This window comes from Homo sapiens, chromosome 2 (assembly GCF_000001405.40).
Source record: "Homo sapiens chromosome 2, GRCh38.p14 Primary Assembly".
Classification (NCBI taxonomy): Eukaryota; Metazoa; Chordata; class Mammalia; order Primates; family Hominidae; genus Homo; species Homo sapiens.
Genome location: NC_000002.12, coordinates 60,853,759 through 60,873,057, shown reverse-complemented (window position 1 = coordinate 60,873,057; position 19,299 = coordinate 60,853,759). Strand labels below are relative to the sequence as shown.

At 43.2% G+C, this 19,299-nt stretch overlaps 1 long non-coding RNA gene across 1 annotated transcript in view; it reads left to right on the top strand.

Moving 5' to 3' along the window:
- Window positions 1–19,299, top strand: part of REL-DT (REL divergent transcript) — a 33,555-nt gene that overhangs the window by 8,257 nt on the left and 5,999 nt on the right. The window contains exon 2 of the long non-coding RNA NR_033980.1: window positions 16,138–16,284. This is a non-coding gene — a long non-coding RNA (REL divergent transcript). The remainder of the gene's footprint in view (window positions 1–16,137; window positions 16,285–19,299) is intronic.

The following is a 19,299-nucleotide window of genomic DNA, read 5'->3' as shown; positions in this document are numbered from 1 at the left end:
TGAAGCTGGGAGGTAGAGGTTGCAGTGAGCCGATCTCGTGCCACCGCACTCCAGCCTGGGCGACAAAGCAAGACTACATCTCAAAAAAAAAAAAAATCTCTTTTTAATCTTTTTGTTTATATTGTGTAGGCCCTATACTGTGGTATGCTAGTTTTGCGTATATAGCACTGCCTAGAAGTATGACACAGTGTGCTAACTTGGGTTTCTCTAACTGTAGTAATGTCTGATGTGTCACAACCATGAGATCCAGTGATTACTTGTTCCAATTTAGAATTAACATTTTTCAGAACAAGTAATGAAGTCATCATCACCTTCAAGTCATATGGTGCCTCTTTTATGTCTCAACAGGAGAGAGTTAGTTCAATTTTAAGGTTGGAAGGAACCCTGTAGATCATTTAGTTCATCTCCCTCGTTTTACACATGAGGAAAATGAGGCACAGGAAGTTTAAGTACCTTGCCCGTGTTCATTAGGTAGTTAATTGCTGAGTTGAAACTTGAAACCAGACCTCCAGACTCTTTGTTTCTTTTTCACTATGTCACATCACATTTCAAAATATGACCTAAGATATAAAACAATATAACTGGCAGCCATAATCTTACTAATAAAAATGCAAATATATGAAGGTTTAGCGTTCACAGGTTCCATATCTTTTAAGACTCTTCATGTTCTTTTCCCCAAAATTCTCAATTCAATACCTGTGTAGGAAAAGTAAAAATCAGTGCATTTACTTCTTTAATTAAAGGCATTGACTGTGTCTTGTTCATCTTTTATTCCCTAGAGTGGCTAGTACAGTGCCTTTAGCATTGTAGATGCTCATTAAATGTCGAATAAAATATAAATTATTACACATTGAATCACACCAGTATTGATATGAGTGACAATGTATCACCACTGGGCGTTAGATACCATCAAGAAAAACAAAAAGAGGCACAAGGCTCAACTCCTACCCAAAGTGATAACTATGCCTGCAGAGAGGTATGATAGTGATTATATTAAGACGGGTATCAAAATCATGGATTACTGTCATGAAAGCAAGCAAGCTGGGCCAACCAGTTACTAAGTTCATATGTATATTTTACTTATTTATTTTTAGATTGAGATGGAATCTCACTATTGTTGCCCAGAGCTGGTCTCAAACTCCTGGGCTCAAGCAGCCCTCCCACCTCAGCCTGCCAAAGTGCTGGGATTATAGGCGTGAACCACTACTCCCGGACCTAAATTCTTTAATAACATTCAAAGTCTTTAATTTTTTGCTAAAATATGTTTATTTTTAAATTACAACCTAAAAAAAGACACATATAAAACATTAAAGAAAGGCTGGGCATGGTGGCTCACACCTGTAATCCCAGCAGTTTGGGAGACCATGGTGGCAGGATCAGTTGAGGCTAGGAGTTCAAGACCAGCCTGGGCAACATGGTGAGACCCTGTCTCTATAAAACAAAACAAATAAACAAAATTAAATAAAGATTGGAGAAAAGAAGAAAACTCACTTATAATTCTGCCTCACTAATACAGACATCACCTACGTGCATGTGTGAGTATGTGTGTATGTGTTGTCTTCTAGAGCTTTTTCATATGCAGGCTTTGGTTTATTTCTTCTGCTATTACTTGATCATGGTAAAAAAATTAAGGCAGAGAAAATGAAAGTCAAGTAAAATGACCAACCCCTATGCAAAAAATAACCAAGAGTAGTGATTTGGAGTATATCCTCATGTAACTTTTATATATTTTATATCACTATGTATCATTTATACATAAACTTTGGTAGCCTGGATTTTTTTTTTCACCTGACATTATATTACATTTGCCATAGATTTTTTTTTTTTTCTTTTAGAGACCAGCTGTCACCCTGCAGTGGCACAGTCACGGCTCACTGTAGCTTCAAATTCCTGGGCTCAAGTGATTCTCCTGCTTCAGCGTCATGAGTAGCTGGGATTACAGGGACAAGCCACCACACCTGGCTAATTTTAAAATTATTTTTGTAGAGATGGGGTCTCCCTATGTTGCCCAGGCTGGTCTCAAACTCCTGGGTTCAAGCAGTCCTCCTGCCTTGGCCTCCCACCGTGCTGAGATTATAGGCGTGAGCCATCGGGCCCGACCTGGATTTTATACTGAGCACTATAAGGAAGGAAATTGTCTAGAGAATAGATATCCTAGGAAACTGGGAATGGTTCCAAGCCTTGTAGGTCCTAATCAGCTTAAAGAACAGATTTTATATAACCAGGGAGTTGAAAAATTGGAAAAGTAGGAAATTGTGAGCAGGAGGTTGGGCTTTCTAAGTTATCGCATAAAAAAACCAGGCTTGGGCTGGGCGTGGTGGCTCACGCCTGTAATCCCAGCACTGTGGGAGGCCAAGGCGGGTGGATCACGAGGTCAGGAGATTGAGACCATCCTGGCTAACAAGGTGAAACCCTGTCTCTACTAAAAATACAAAATGTTAGCCAGGTGTGGTGGCGGGCGCCTGTAGTCCCAGCTACTTGGGAGGCTGAGGCAGGAGAATGGCGTGGATCTGGGAGGCAGAGCTTGCAGTGAGCCAAGATCGTGCCACTGCACTCCAGCCTGGTGACAGAGCAAGACTCTGTCTCAAAAAAAAAAAAAAAAACAAAAATAGCCAGGCTTGTATTTAGATATCTAACACCACTGAAATTGAAGACAAGCATAACTTTCACATAATATTTACAGCAATCTATCAAAAAGTCTAATGAGATTTAAAATATATTAAACCTAATTTTGGATATTCCAGATGAAATGTTTTCATTTTCTTTCTTTCTTTTTTTAAGACAAAATCTCACTCTGTCGCCAGGCTGGAGTGCTGTGTCGTGATCTCGGCTCGCTGCAACCTCTGACTCCCTGGTTCAAGTGATTCTCCTGCCTCAGCCTCCCAAGTAGCTGGGATTACAGGCACGCGCCACCATGCCCAGCTAATTTTTTTTCTGTATTTTTAATAGAGACAAGGTTTCACCGTGTTGGCCAGGATGGTCTCAATCTCCTGACCTTGTGATCCGCCCGCCCCTGCCTCCCAAAGTGCTGGGATTACAGGCTTTGGGAGCCACCGTGCCCAGCTGAAATGTTTTCATTTTCATAGTAAATGTATACATCTTTATTTTTACTTAGTGCTTAATTAAAAGTGATAGATCAAGTCGGGTGTGGTGGCTAATGCCTGTAATCCCAGCACTTTGGGAGGCCGAGGTGGGGAGATCACTTGAGGTCAGGAGTTTGAGACCAGCCTGGCCAGCCTGGTAAAACCCTGTCTCTACCAAAAATACAAAAAATTAGCCAGGAGTGGTGTTGCACACCTGTAATCCTAGCTACTTGGGAGGCTGAGGCAGGATAATTGCTTGAACCCGGGAGGCGGAGGTTGCAGTGAGCCAAGATCGTGCCACTGCCCTCCAGCCTGGGCAACAGAGCGAGACTCCATGTCAAAAAAAAAAAAAAAGGTGATACATCAATATTATAAATAATATACTTTCCTATTACTGGGTGTATTTTGAATACTTTTTTTACCTTAGACTTTTGAAACAATCTTGGTCACATTACTTTTTTTTTTTTTTGATACAGAGCCTCACTCTGTCGTCCAGGCTGGAGTGCAGTGGCACAATCTCGGCTCACTGCAACCTCCACCTCCTGGGTTTAAGTGATTCTCAATACCTCAGCCTCCTGAGTAGCTGGGACTATAGGCATGTGCCATCACGCCTGGCTAATTTTTGTATTTTTAGTAGAGATGGGGTTTCACCATGTTGGCCAGGCTGGTCTCAAACTCCTGACCTCAGGTGATGCACCTGCCTTGGCCTCCCAAAATTCTGGGATTCCGTGTGCAGCCTGGAATAGGTTTTTGCTGTGGTTTGAATGTGTCCCTCAACATTCATGTGTTGGAAGCCTAATTCCCAATGTCATAATATTAAGAGGTGGGGCCTTTAAGAGATGATTAAGTCATAAGGGTGGTGCCTTCATGGATAGGATTAGGGCCCTTATAAAAGGACTCAAGGTTGAAGGGGGAGCTCTCTTGCACTCTTACCCTTCTGCCATGTGATGACACACCAAGAAGGTCGTTGCAAAATGTCAGCACCTTGATCTTGGACTTCCCACCCTCCAGAACTGTGAGAAAATGAATTTCTGTTCTTTATAAATTACTCAGTCTCCAATATTCTTTTATGGCAGCTCAAACGAACTGAAATAGTTCTTTGGGTTTTTTTTTTCCTACTCATAAAAAGGAGCACCCAGGAATTCACTAGACTTTGCTGTGTCTGCATGTGATAAGTAAACCACAGAAGCCATTTTAAGACATGAGTTAAAAATAAAGCCACCATGGGCTGGGCACAGTGGCTCATGCCTGTAATCTCAGCACTTTGGGAGGCCAAGGCAGGCAGATCACTTGAGGCCAGGAGTTCAAGACCAGCCTGGTCAACATGGCCAAACCCCGTTTCTACTAAAACTACAAAAATTAGCCAGGCGTGGTGGTGCACGCCTGTAATCCAGCTACTTGGGAGGCTGAGGCATGAGAATCGCTTGAACCTGGGAGGTGCAGGTTTCAGGGAGCCAAGATTATGCCACTGCATTGCAGCCTGGCAACAGAGTGAGACCCTTTCTCAAAAAATAAAAATAAAGCCACCATACTGAAGATGTTAGAGTAGAAAGAATTGGAAGGAATCTGAGTTTTTGGTGACATGATTAGCTGCTGAATTGGAACCATCCTACCTCAGACTCCTCGTTATATGAGATAATAAATATTCCATTATGATGTAAACCAGTTGAGTTTCCTGTTATTTGCAGCCGAAAATAAGAGAGATCCAACTATCCCTAAAAGAGAGACTCAGTCTGGCTGAGGTCTGAGCTCCTGAAAAATGGTCTCCACCATGTATTTCCTTAAACTGAGCATTTAATTCTATCAATCTTAAGACATAGTACTTTAATTTTCACTTCCTGTATTATACTTAACAGTTACCGTACGCGTACTGTTGCTCAAGACCACTGGCGGATTCAGAAATAGAACACAGTGCCTAGGTCAAAATGGAAGTTTATAACTTTAATGAAGCCCTTTGACAGAGGACAGGAAGTCAAAGTCAACCAAACAGGAAGTAGGCAGAGCAGAACAGAGCAGCCGGAAATATTTGGGCCTGGCACAAGAATTGGTCTATATACAGAACATATATAAAACAAACAAAATATTTAGAGCTGAAATCTTTAAATTTGTAAACACTTAAAGGGGATCATTTAAAGAAGAAAGAGAAGGAAAACAAGGAAGTAAAAGGAAGACAGAAATGTCTCTTGCCAGAGTAATTATTGCGTAAACCAAAGAATGTTTCTGCACAGCTTGTAGCAGTTTTAAAACATTATTTAATTAAATTAATTAATTTATTTTCAAGGCAGGGTATTGCTCTATCTCCAGGCAGGAGAGCAGTGGTACAATCACCGCTCACTGCAGCCTCCATCTTCCAGGCTCAAGCAGTCCTCCCACCTTAGCCCACCAAGCAGCTGGGACCACATTAGGTGCACACCACCAGGCCCAGCTAGTTTCAGTTTTAAAACATACCTGCAAATTCCTTGATCTCCCCCCCATGATGAGGTGAACTTTGTGGCCCTCCCTTTGAATTTGGGCCAAACATTAGTGACTAGTTGACCAGTAGGGTATGGCAGAAATGATTCTCTGTGACCTTCCGGACTCAGTCAAAAAAGGTGGTGCAGATTCTCCCTGGTTCTCTGGACCCTGCATTAGAGCCTTGAGCCACTATCTAAGAAGCATTACTACCCTGAGACCATCATGCTGCGAGGAAGCACAAACTAATTCGTGTAAACAGATCACATGGAGAGGCCCTGACATCCCAAGCTCTCCCAATGCCTGCTCTTCCATCTCCTGCCACTGCATGTAAGACATTAAGCCAGAACCACTCAGTGGAGCTCTTCCTGAATTCCTGACCCACAGAAACCATGAGATAATAAAATGATTGTTGTTGTTTTAAGCCAGTAAGCTTTGGGGTGGATTGTTAATGCAGCAATAGATAACCAGAACAGTAGATGAGGTGATTTAAATGCTATGGCTTTTTAATAAGTAAGGAAAGAACTCAAGGACTCATTAAAAGTCATTATAACTAATTACTATAACCATCAAGATGAAGTGGTAGTTTCCAGTCAGAGGACCTGTTAGCAATAATAAAAGCAAATAATTATTGGTGAGGCCAAGCGTGGTTTAAAAAAAAATCTCGCTTCTGAAAGAACACTTTAGTTAAAATGAAATATTTAAATACTATGCCATATTTCTCAAGAGCAATTTGTGCAAGCAATTCTCTTTTTACCACTTTTTCTTCACATCTCAGAGATTCATAGTATCTATAAGCTATGACAGATATTTGGGCTGATTCCTGATATATCATAACTCAGCAACTCAAAAAGCTACAAGCTGGGAGATTGAGGACTCCTATGCACTGGGTACCACTTTCTTGGCCTTTGGATATTCAATCATTTAACATTTCTGTAAGGGAAATGTAGCCAGTGGGACCCTATCTGTGGGATAAATTTCATGATGGAAAAGATAGGATGTTAGAGGTGTCAAAGACTCCTAAGACTCACACTTACAGTATTGATTCTTGTTTTAAAGTGTTAAAAGGACATAAATAAAAATTAAGATCAGTCAAAGCAAATACAGAAAAGTGATATGGAAAATGTATATGAAATGTCCAGAGTAGGCAAATCCATAGACAGAAAATAGATGAGTGATTGCCTGGGGCCAGGGGTACATGGGGTCTGACTACTAAGGGATTTCTTATGGGGTGCTGAAAATGTTCTAAAATTAATTGTAATGATGGTTGTAAAATTGAATTTACTAATATCCATTAAATTGTATACTTTAAATGGATGAACTGCACAGATGAATTGCATGGTGTGTGAATTATATCTCAAAGCTGTTATAAAAAAAGTAACTGGAAAATTATAGAAGATGAAAACAGATTAAAAATAGATCCTTTTTATCAGAATAAAAATGTTTCTACCTATGCTTAGAAATTCCCTGGCTAAATGAGTAGGTGACACTGAGATTCCTCTAGAGAAGAGTTCAGCAAACTTTTTCTCTAGTAGGCCACATAGAAAATATTTTGCAGCCTGGGCAACATAGCAAGACCCCATCTCTACAAAAAAATTTTTGAAAATTAGCTGGATATGGTAACCTGTGCCTGTAGTCCTAGCTACTTGGGAGGCTGAAGTGGGAGGATTCCTTGAACCCAGGAATTGGAGGTTATAGTAAGCTATAATCAGCACCACTGCACTCCAGCCTGGGCAACAGAGACTCTGTCTCTATTTTTTAAAAAAGAAAATATTTTAGGATTTGTGGGTGTGTTAGTCCGTTCTCATACTGCTTCTAAAGACATAACTGAGACTGGGTAATTTATAAAGGAAAGAGGCTTACTTGACTCACAGTTCAGCATAGCTGGAGAGGCCTCAGGAAACTTACAATCATGGCAGAAGGGGAAGTAAACACATCCTTCTTCACATGGCGTCTGGAAGGAGAAGTGCTGAGCAAAGGAGGAAAAGCCCCTTATAAAACTATCAGATCTGTGAGAACTCACTCACTATCATGAGAACATCCTGGGGCTAACTGCCCCCATGATTCAATTACCTCCCACTGGGTCCCTCCACAACAGGTGGGGATTATGGGAAGTACAGTTCAAGAAGAGATTTGGGTAGGGACACAGAAAAACCGAATCAGTGGGCCAAGAGGCAAAATTGTGGATATTATGTAGGTCCTCATATAACAAGAGAAAACAAACTTCTGCACATTTTAAATAGATGAAATTAAAACTTTAACAATAATTTAGTACAATGTTTTTGTAATAGAAGTCTACTAATGAGAAGACAGATTCCTTTTCGGGGGATAATATTTTGTTTAAGTGATGTTTAAAGTTAGTGTTTCCTATCATCAGATTGACTGCAAATGTTATTCTGAAAAAAATAATTCCTAGTTCATGGGTCATACAAAATCAGGCAGTGGGGCTGGATTTGGCCCATGGGCTATATAGTTTGCCACCCTGTGCTCTAGAGGAATAAATTCCTAAAGGTTGATACATCATTTCTTAGGGCTTCTGTAACAAAGTATCACAAACTAGGTGGCTTAAAATAACAGAAATGTATTGTCTCACAGTTCTAGAGGTCAAAAGCCTTAAAGCAAAGTGTTGGCAAGGCCATGCCCCCTCCAAAGGCTCTAGAGGAGGATGCTTCCTTTCCTCTTCCAGCTTTTAGTAGCCTCAGGTGTTCCTGGCTTGTAGCAGCACAGCTCAAATCTCTGCCTCTGTCTTTATGTGGTCTTTTTCCCTCTGTGTCTGCGTCTGTGTCTGTGTTTTGTCTCCTCTTCTTCTAAGGACACCAGTCATACACTAATTCAGTATGATCTCATCTTTTTTTTTTTTTTTTTTTTTTTTTTTGAGATGGAGTCTTGCTCTGTCTCCCAGGCTGGAGTGCAATGGTGCAATCTTGGCTAACTGCAACCTCCGCCTCCTGGGTTCAAGCGATTCTCATGCCTCAGCCTCCCAAGTAGCTGGGATTACAGCTGCCTGCCACTGTGCCCAGCTAATTTTTGTATTTTTTAGTAGAGATGGGGTTTTGCCATGTTGGCCAGGCTGGTCTCAAACTCCTGACCTCAGGTGATCACTCCACCTCGGCCTCCCAAAGTGCTGGGATTACAGGTGTGAGCCACCACTCCCAGCCTGATATCATCTTAACTAACTACATCTGAGATTCTAGAGAGGGCTAATATTTGTTTCTTTAGTTTGTTTCCACTTTAAAACTTTTTAAAACAATATAATGTGTAAAGATTCTAGTAACACCCACCACCCCCAAAAGAAGAAAATGATAAAGCTCACAAATTTGAAATCCATCCCTGTTTGTGCCGTCAGAATCTGGGATGTCTCAGTATGGTAAAGTTTGGAGGTTTTATGGATTGTCTCATGCACCAGAAGGGTAGCTAGAAACATCAGGCCACACCTATAATTTAACTTTCTTGAGGGAGAGGAGATAAACTCTTGGAAGCAGAGATGCCTTTTGACCTGTGAGACTGTTGCGTATGTTGTATTTACCAGTAGACCATGGACAGGTGGGAGCAGCAGAGTTGTCTCATGGATTTCCTCTTTATGACTGAGACTTCAATGGTTAAAATTTGAAAAAAAAAAAAAAAAAAAAAAAATTTCCTCTTTAACCATGTTATCTTCAACTGAGCAATTTTGGTGTTCAAAGAAGTGCTTTGCAGTCATAAAATCATGAAATGTTCACATTGGAAGAAACCTCACTTCCTCTAGCTTAACAGATGAAGAAACTGAGGCTCAAAGTGAAAAAACTATGGGCTCAACATCATTCATTCATTCAACAGATGTGTATTAAACAACCACCACAAGGCAGGCTGTGTGCTAGGCCCTGAGACCTAGAAGTGAACAAGGTAGACACAGTTCCAATTCAGAAGGAGCTTCAGGTCTAGAGGACTTGACCACATAGAAAGTGACCACATATCGATAATGGTGACAAGTGTTACACAGGACAAGTGCAGGAGCTGGAGCCCAGGCAAGGAATGAAAGGGCCGGGCTGGGCATGTGGGAGCTGATGGATGGAGCTTTCTGGGCAGATGGAACTGGAATGGAATGTTTGATGTTCTGAGGTGGGGAGGAGCAAGGCGTTTAAAGGAATAGAGAAGGCCAGTGTGTCCGGAGTGCTGTGTGTGAAGATAAATTAGTTCTTCATGAAGCAAGCCAGGGGAAAGATCTTGAAGGGCCTTTTAAGCTATGGTGAGCCCTTGGACTTGATCCTTAAAAAAAGCTTTTTTTTCCCTCTCACTCTCCTTCCCAATGGACTTTATCATATGACCAGTTGGGAGCCCTAAAAGCTTCTAAGCAGGACAATATCATGCTCAGATTTGATTTTAAAACACGTGAAAGGCCTTGCATACTGATTGAAGAATGGTTGAGAGATCAGGGAAGAAGAGAGCTGAGCTCATAGAACTGTAAGTTAATGCTATGTCCAGGCAAGAGTTGATGATGGCTTGTACTGGGGTATAGCTATGATGGTGGAGAGAAGTGGATGGATTGGATAAATGATCTGTTCATAGGATTTACTGTATCTGAAAATTCATATATAGAAGGATGAAAAAGAAGGTGTCAAGAATGACTTTCAGGTTTTGGGCATGAGCAACAGTATGGAGAGTGGTAACATAGAATGAAACAGGAAACACTGGAGGAGCCCCAGGTTTGAGGGTAGAAAGAGGAAGATGATGAGTTTGCTGTGAGTATGTTCAATGAGGAGCCTGTGGAACAACAAGACAGCTGTCTATATGAGTCTGAAACTGGAGATATACATTTGAGAGTGGTTGTTGGGATTTAAGGGAACCAGTGAATGATGTCCCATACATTCCGAGTGCAGAAGCAGCTGAGAACTAGATATTGATCTTGGGAATCAAAAGTCTCAATTTTTTTATTGGTTAAACTGGATTATAGAATGGATCTTTTATCCATAGACAAAATTGGGCTTTTTAATATCTTCCCCCTGAATTTCACCTATTGGACCCTGATATAGTTTGGATGTCGCCTTCAAATCTCATGTTGAGATGTAATCCCCAGTGTTGAAGGGGGGCCTGGTAGGAGGTATTTGGGTCATGGGGGTGGATCCCTCAAGGCTTGGTGCTGTCTGCCGCATAGTGAGTGAGTTCTCAGGAGATACGGTCTGAAAGTGTGTGGCACCGTCACTCCCTCCCACTCCACCCCCATGCACTCCTGTTTCCTCCATGTGACGTGCCTGCTCCTGCTTCCCATTCCATGGTGAGTAAAAGCTTCCTGAGGCCTCCCTAGAAGCAGATGCCGGCACTGTACAGCCTGCAGAACTATGAGCCAATGAAACCTCATTTCTTACACATTACGTAGTCTCCAGTATTTCTTTATAGGAACGCAGGAATGGCCTAATACAGCGCCCAACTGCAGACCTCCCTACTGCAGAACAGAGCCTGGCCCAGTAAGATTGTGTTTTGTAGGAGAGAGGACTGGGTGCCTGGTGCAGGGGCACCAACCCAGAGAGGAAGGGAGAGGAGAGGAGAGAGAGGCACTCAGCTGTCTGTGAGTCACCCACTTCGGGAAGGACTAAGTGTTCCAACAGGAAACAGATGGTACATTCAAAGTGGAACCTGAAGAGAGTTTAGCAAAGGGACACCACCTTTAACCATGTCCACACCTTGCGGAGGTGTGGGCAAGGTTAAAAGTACCAACAGGGGATGCAGATGCATCCAGGAACTAGATACTAGGAAGTTCTAGTAGGGACAAGGGGCGGGAGCTGTTACGGTAACTCAGTGGGAGCTGTTGCCAAGGCAGGCAGAGATGCTGCTCAACAGGAATGTGGCAGAGGAAAGAAGCCAGAGCCAAAACTGGCCAGGTGTGAGTGTGGGCTGTGGGGGGAGGTAAATATCGTCCTGTCTACTCGCTCTTCGCCCCTTATAACTCCCTCCTATCGATGAAACCCACCAGAAGCCAGAGGACTGTCATGAGTAGGGAATGTAGTCTGCAGCAGTCAGCCTGCCCAGGCACAGAGCAGGGCAGAGAAGGGTGGAGAGTGGGCCATTCGAAAATTACCAGCATGGGTAATGAGGGCTGGAGAGAGGACAAGAGGCATCACTCTGCTCTCCTACCAGTGAAATTCCCTGAGGTGAGCCTTGGAGACCTGCTACCCTGCTCCCATTTTATAAGGCTCACCTCCACCTCTCTCTCCATAAAATCCATTGCTCTTTTGAATTTTTTCTTCAACCACTCATGGGTAGTTAGCTTTTGTTCCAAAAAGGCTGTGAAGTGGGAGCAGAACCATTCTTTAATTAAATTATCAATGCCTACTGCATCTTGGGGTGAAAACTCATCACTGTCCTATTTCTTAATCTCATATGTCCTCAGCTGTAGCATCCAATTGGCTCACCAGAAGATATGAAGTAGATCAAATGATAATAGAAATGTATGACAATATGCTGTCTGACAGTGATACAATGCCAATAAAATGGAAATGTCCTAAATAACCTACTTTTATTACAGTGTTGCATTGAGTCTAAGATGTCCATGTTCATTTTCTTCCCCCACATTTTTTTTTTTTAAGAGACTAGGTCTTGCTATGTTGCCCAGGCTGGTCTTGAACTCCTAGGCTCAAGATATTATCCCACCTAAGCCTCCCGAGTAGCTGGGATTGCAGGCACCCACCACCATGCCTGGCAATTTTTCGTATTTTAACCTCTCTGAAATTGTTATTCATATTACAGTCTCATCATCCAGGCTGCAGTTACGATGGAGTTGTCATTGTCTGCACATGTGTATTAAAACTTTAAGAACAGATACCAGCAACTTGGAAGAAAATCCTGGAGACAAAACGAAGCACTCTGCTATAAAATGCTCTATCATCAGTGCTCTTGGTGACACAGAGAGTGACACTGAGATGCACACAGGCCATTCTGAATTAAAAAGTGATTCAGTCAGAAAGAAAGATGAGTAGTTGCAGGGGCTGGGGGAGCAGGAGGAGTGGAACAGGGAGTGACTGCTAATAGATACAGGGTTTCTTTGGGGAGTGATAGAAATGTTCTGGAATATTCCCTTGAAGGATTTTAATTTAAAAAGAAATCAAGAGAAATGTTCTAGAATAGATAGTGGTGGGTTGTACAACTTTGTGAATGCACTAAAAACACTGAATTATACACTTCAAAGGGATGTATTTTATGGTGTGTGAATTATATCTTAGTTTTCAAAAAGTGATTCAGAACATGGGGAAAAGCTTGATAATGAGCACATGAGAACTCTACACTTACTGTGCATCCAAAATTATTTCAAAATAAAAAACTTAAAAAAACCTTTTGGAATATCATCCAAAATTGAGGTCCTATATAGAAAAATCTGTATTCAGAGTATGTTACTGGCTTGTGTGAACTATGTCTTAGGGGGGAAAAAGACATTCAATAAAAACTTGTCCAACTTTCAGCTGGGCGTGGTGGCTCATGCCTGTAATCCCAGCACTTTGGGAGGCCGAGGCATGTGGATCACCTGAGGTCAGGAGTTCGAGACCAGCCTGACCAACATGGTGAAACCCCGTCTCTACTAAAAATACAAAAATTAGCCAGGTGTGGTGGCAGGCTTCTGTAATCTCAGCTACTAGAGAGGCCAAGGCAGGAGAATCGCTTGAACCCAGGAGGTGGAGGTTGCAGTGAGCTGAGATTGCGCCATTACACTGTAGCCTGGGCGACAACAGTGAAACTCTGTCTAAAAATAAAAACAAACAAAAAAAACTTGTTCAACTTTGAAAGCAAAGATGATTCAGAATATTTGGATTCCTAATATAAAGAGCTTCTAAGAGTACTTTACGTTATTTTGCTTCTATTTTCCTTTTTATGCATGCACAAGAGCAACCTATGATACAAATCTATGTCCAAGTAAGTCTGAAATAGGTTGTTAATGAAGTATAAACATTTTAAGTGACAAAAGAGCATTTTGTCAAAGTTTAGCCAGCATTTTTCCCCTTCTTAATAGTATGTTATTAAATACATTCCCAAGGAGGTATGCCCCCCAAATCAAATTTCCTTTCTCTTATAAGGTAAAGACCAAGGATATTAAAGTCCATGAAGATCTCCTGCACTCTCATACCGTTCAGCCTCAGCCCAGGGCCTTCACTCAGTGACCGCAGCCAATGTCTCTTGTGTGTTCCACTTTTAGAGTCCATCGGGTTAAAAGGACAGAGAAGATTATCCCAGCACCAGCCCCACACCTGACTTAGAAAACATGAACTAATCTGCTGGCCCCTACAGCAGTTAGACCAGTTATATCAGTCCTGATTCTAGGTTATGAGCCACAGAAACCAACATTGCCTGATTTAAGCAAAGAAGGAATTTATCCATAGTCCATTGGGTAGTTGGGGGAATTACAGGGAAGACAGGAAAACCTGGCTTTGCATAGTATGACCTGTGAACTAGTCTGAAGAAGGCATTGGTGGCAACTGAGCGGTGTCCCCATCATCATGGGGAATTCTCTGTTGGGCCTCATCTGTGCATTGCTGACTCCTGGTTCAAAGTCCAGAGTGGGTCCATCTCGCTGGCCGAGCCTTGGTCACATGGCTGCATCTTGGCCACATGACTGCAAAGGAAGCTGGGAAAGTAAGTGACATTTTATGCTTCTATAAAAGGAGATAGACTCTGCCTCCCACCAAGACTTTTAAGGAGGGGAAAGAGGTTCAGTTGATGAACAGACAAAAATCATATGAACATCTACTTCACCAATCAAAATAAAGTCCCCAGAATCCCAGAATACACACATAGTATTGGCACCAGCTAACAAGCCTAGCAGAGGCCCAGCAGTATCTGTGGGAAGTAGAGAAAACAGAAAAGAAAAAAACTTTTAGATATCAGCCTTGTCTTAATACCTCTCAATCTATGTCGGTTTTCCGTAGTTCTTGACTGGTGAACTTTACACTGTGTTAGGAGAAGTCTTTCATCAGGAAGTTAATTATGGCCTAGGGCACGTCTGGAAATTGAAACCTTCCTGGCCTCTTGCAAAATTTAGAAATTTTCAGTGATGCTTTAGAAGTTACTGGAGAATCCTGGGGCCCGGCGTGGTGGCTCACGCCTGTAATCCCAGCACTTTGGGAGGCTGAGGCGGGCAGATCACGGGGTCAGGAGATCGAGACTATCCCGGTTAACACGGTGAAGCCCTGTCTCTACTAAAAATACAAAAAATTAGCCAGGCATGGTGGCGGGTGCTTGTAGTCCCACCTACTCGGGAGGCTGAGGCAGGAGAATGGCATGAACCCAGGAGGCGGAGCTTGCAGTGAGCCGAGATCCCGCCACTGCACTCCAGCCTGGGCGACAGAGAGAGACTCCATCTCAAAAAAAAAAAAAAAAAAAGTTACTGGAGAATCCTTTCTTCCCCATTCTGTAGATTTAAAGCCCCTTAATTTCCATTTCCCCTGTGTCCCCGTCGAGCCAGGAACACAGCCCCATGTCCCCTCGTAAGCAGCCATTGGAATGGTGTGCTGGTAAACTGGCTCTCTCAAATAAATAAATGAATAAGCCCTGATTGGCAATATTTTCTCATTTGGTGTAAATACTCTCTCTGTGGAAGATTTTAAGCTGTTAAGGTTGTGCCATGCAAAATTCCTAAATATTTATCACCCCTTTTGAATGCCTAGGAGCGATTGCCCTCGCTCTGTCACCCAGGCTGGAGTGCAGTAGTGCAATCTCGGCTCACTGGAATTCCCGCCTCCCTGGTTCATGCGGTTCTCCTGCCTCAGCCTCCCAAGTAGTTGGGATTACAGGTGCATGCCACCGCACCAGGCTGATTTTTGTATTTTTAGTAGAGACAGGGTTTTGCTTTGCCACGTTGGCCAGGTTGGTCTTGAACTCCTGCCCTCAAATGATCTGCCCGCCTTGGCCTCCCAAAGTACTGGGATTACAGGTGTGAGCTACTGTGCCCGGCCGTTGCCTGGATTTTCATAAGGCTGTGATACCTACCTCTTGGGGCAGTTTTCTCACTTGTTTAATCTGGAGAATCACTAGTAGTGGATTCCTCAACTGAAGCTGCTATGGAATGTATGTTCCCAGGGGCAGAGGTCTTCATTTTGTTCACTGCTGTACTCCCAGTGCCTAGAACAGTACCTGGCACATAGAAGGTTCTTAGTACATGTTTGTCTGTGGTTCTGAGGCTTTTCACTAAGGCCTAGTGAGGACAAATATCTCTGCCATGTGCTGGTCCACAGAGCACTGCCTTTCCCTGCCTTGAGGATTAAAGCTGTGTCAAAGGCAGCAGCAGATTACGTTATGTTCTGTCTTTTACGGAGAAGTGGAATATGTGTGTGATCGTCTATATGCCTCTGTTGTTCCACTTCTCTTTTTGGGACAGGGCAGCCCAGTCTTTCACATTTTACCTTGCTTCTTCAGTTGACCATTTCCTTCTTTATCGCATGTCAGCCAGCACTGTTTGCTGTACTGATTAGTGTTTTCATCTTTATTTCCCTTTGTTTTTGAGTCAGGACATTTGTTCTTCTGATATGCTCCTTAAGTTCTGTTTCATGGGGTACACTATAGTGAGCAGTATGAAATTATGAAGTTTTGAATCTGCAAACAACATGACTGTTGAAACATATCTTGTCCTTCTTTCTCCTTGCAGGTGGTTTTGTCCTTTTGGACCAATTATCTAACCTGGGCCTGGACTCCATCTACCACTGTCCTGCCTGGTTCACTGCAGCTCACTTCATCTTCCTGTGCCTTCTCTGAAAGGGCCCCTCCAAAAGTTTCCTGGGTATGTCCCCTCAAGGTACATACCATGACTACATTCCCACCTGTAGTATTCTAATTGAACCACCTTGAAACTCACTGGTAATGCTGGACACATTCTGTGCCCATCTTCCCAGACCTCCCTCCCCAAATCCTGCCACAGTTGCACGACTACCTGGTATAACTTTTGTAGTCTTTAAAGGGCGATTTCCCCAGTTAAACTTACTGTTGACTCCTTATCTGACCTTTTAAGAGAGGACCTCTCAAGAGCTTCCTGGAACTATGCTCCCTGGTTGAGGGTGGGGTAGGTGTGTAGATTATTCCATTCTCTTCTCTGAAATCTCTCCTTTTTTATTGGAGTTCTTTGGACCCGAGTCACCCTTTCCGGCCTAGTAGTAGCCAAAGGAAAAGAGTCTCTATTAATAATACCTTATTTGAGAGCAGTTGGGTCCAAGCATATCTCCCTTTGCCTTTTAGATTGGACTAGTCTTGCCTTCACAATCAAAACATTTCTCTTAAGGAAATCCTTCCCTCTACATGGCAATGGTGGTAAGGCTCAGCTTTAGCCAGTCAGCATGGACACTGGCTGCAAACAACCCAGGTGTGTCTCTGGCTGAACCCCAGGCTTCTTCCCCTGCTGTCCTCCCTTCCCCCATTATCAGCCTAGCTGCATTACTTCTCTTTCTCTCCAACTGCTCTCATTCTGACTTCAAGGTCAGCGTGTCTCAACCAGTTCAGCTCCTCCTTGATTCTTGGAGACAGTGTGTTCTTGCCACAGGTCTTTTTACTATTCATTTTTGGTTTTTTGGTTTCTTTTTTTTTTTTTGAGATGGAGTCTTGCTCTGTTGCCCAGGCTGGAGTGTAGGGGCGTGATCTTGGCTCACTCCAACCTCCATCTCCCGGGTTCAAGTGACTCTCCTACCTCAGTTTCCCTAGTAGCTGGGATTACAGGCATGCGCCACCATACCTGGCTAATTTTTGTATTTTTAGTAGAGACGGGGTTTCGCCATGTTGGCCAGGCTGGTCTCAAACTCCTGACCTCGAGTGATCTGCCTGCCTCAGCCTTCCAAAGTGCTGGGATTATAGGCATGAGCCACCACGCCTGGCCAGTTTTTTTCTTTTTTTCTTTTTTTTTTTTTTTTAGACAGGGTCTTGCTCTGTGCCCAGGCTAACTAAGTGCAGTGGTACAGTCATGGCTCACTGCAGCCTTGATATCCCGGGCTCAAGCAATCCTCCCATCTCAGCCTCCTGTGTAGCTGGGACTATAGGCATTTATAAACAGCCACTCCTGGTTAATTATTTATTTATTTTTTTTAGAGATGAGGTCTCATTATGTTGCCCAGGCTGGTCTCAAACTCCTGGAGGCATGCAGTCTCCCCTCCTTGTTCTCCCAAAGTGCTGGGATTACAGGTGTGAGCCACCCCATCCAACCTATTCCTCTTAATCTTTGGTTTTACTAATATTTTCATTAATGCCCCAAAAGATGGCCAGCCACCTGTAAAATAAGGTCCCCAGTTTCTCTATCTGTTCATTGATAAAAAGCCACTACCCTCTGTGGCTGAACCTCCAAATCTGGGTCTCTGATCAAAACCATGGCCAGGGTTAAGTAACAAATCTACAGAGGACTTTAAACTATGCCATGGGTTTTGAGGGTGATTCTAGGAGTCTGGAGGTAAGTGTACAGAATCAGGATATTAATTCCACCACAGTTCTTTTCTTGGCCCTAAAATCGGATTCAGGTCAACATAACATAAATAGGAAGAGAATTTGAAGCAGTTGATTGAATGCGTGGAAGGCTAGAACCACACAGGCTAGTGTACTCTAACCCAGTGGTCCTCAGACCAGTAGCATCACCTAGGAACTTGTTAGAAATGCAAATTCCTAGATTTTACCCCAGACCTACTCAATCATGGAGTGGAAGCCCAGGAAACTGTATTTTAATAAGCTTACTCAGTGACTTTTATGCATGTGAGAGTTTGAGAACCGAAGCTGTAGCCCACATGGAGCTTAGCTTCCTTTGGCCTGTCCCTGCCTGAGAAGCATGATAGGCACGACAAAAAAGTATCCCAACTACTGATATCTAAAGAATGTAGTCACTGAAGCTCTGCAAGTTTTAAGTGACTGAACGATTCCTCTAATGTTGGCGGCACCTGCTTAGATCTATCAGTTACAAAAGTCTGCGCAACCTGTGTATACTAAGGTAGCAAAGGCCTGAGTTTGCTGAGGTCCTGTGACACCAGTCTCATTAAACTGCTGTATCCTAAATAAGTCAAGGACCTAGAATCCCCTCCTGTCCAAAGCATCCTTCTTACTGGGTGTATCTTAAGTCTCCATCCCTGTGCCCGTTCCTTAAGCTTTCCTGGGCTTTGGGCCCTGTGCGGGTTTTGAGGGTGGTGGTAGACGTACGCATCATCTACCTTCCACTGAGTTGGAACCAACTGAGAAGTAGAATGAGTCCACAGCTAGGGATCAATATCAACTTTATTGCTGATAAAGTTGGATTGGAAAATGCAGCTGGGACTCTGCAGACACCACTAATCTTCCTAATGCCTTCCCCCGCACTGAATCTCCCCACTCCGCTGTGGACCTCCCCTCGGCAGAGGCAGAGGCCCCTTGGTGAAATTGCCAGACCACCCATGTGGTCCAGTTTGGCTCCCTAGAGCTTATGCAGCCTTTCCCCAAACCCCACTTCCATCCCCCCATCGGTTCATTTACCTGGTCTTTGGAAAAGAGTGGTAAATGGTGGAGAGACAGCCAGGGGAGGTGATCCAGTACTGTCCCCTCTGGGATGGACGTGAAGATAGAGAAATAAGGCTTTCCCTGGCTGTGGGAATCATATCTTAGGTCATGGAAAGAGTCGAGAATAGGAAGAGAGGAAGGTCAGGACTGAGGCTTGAGTGAAGCTTACATGTAAACATGGTTGCAAGGAGGAAGCCCCAAACTAAGAGGAAAAAGGAGAGTAGGAGGAGAAACCCAAGGAGCGTGTGGCATCACAGAGGCAGAGGCAAGAGCATTTTAAGGAGAGAGTGATCCGCAGGGTCAGAGTTTCCTAAGT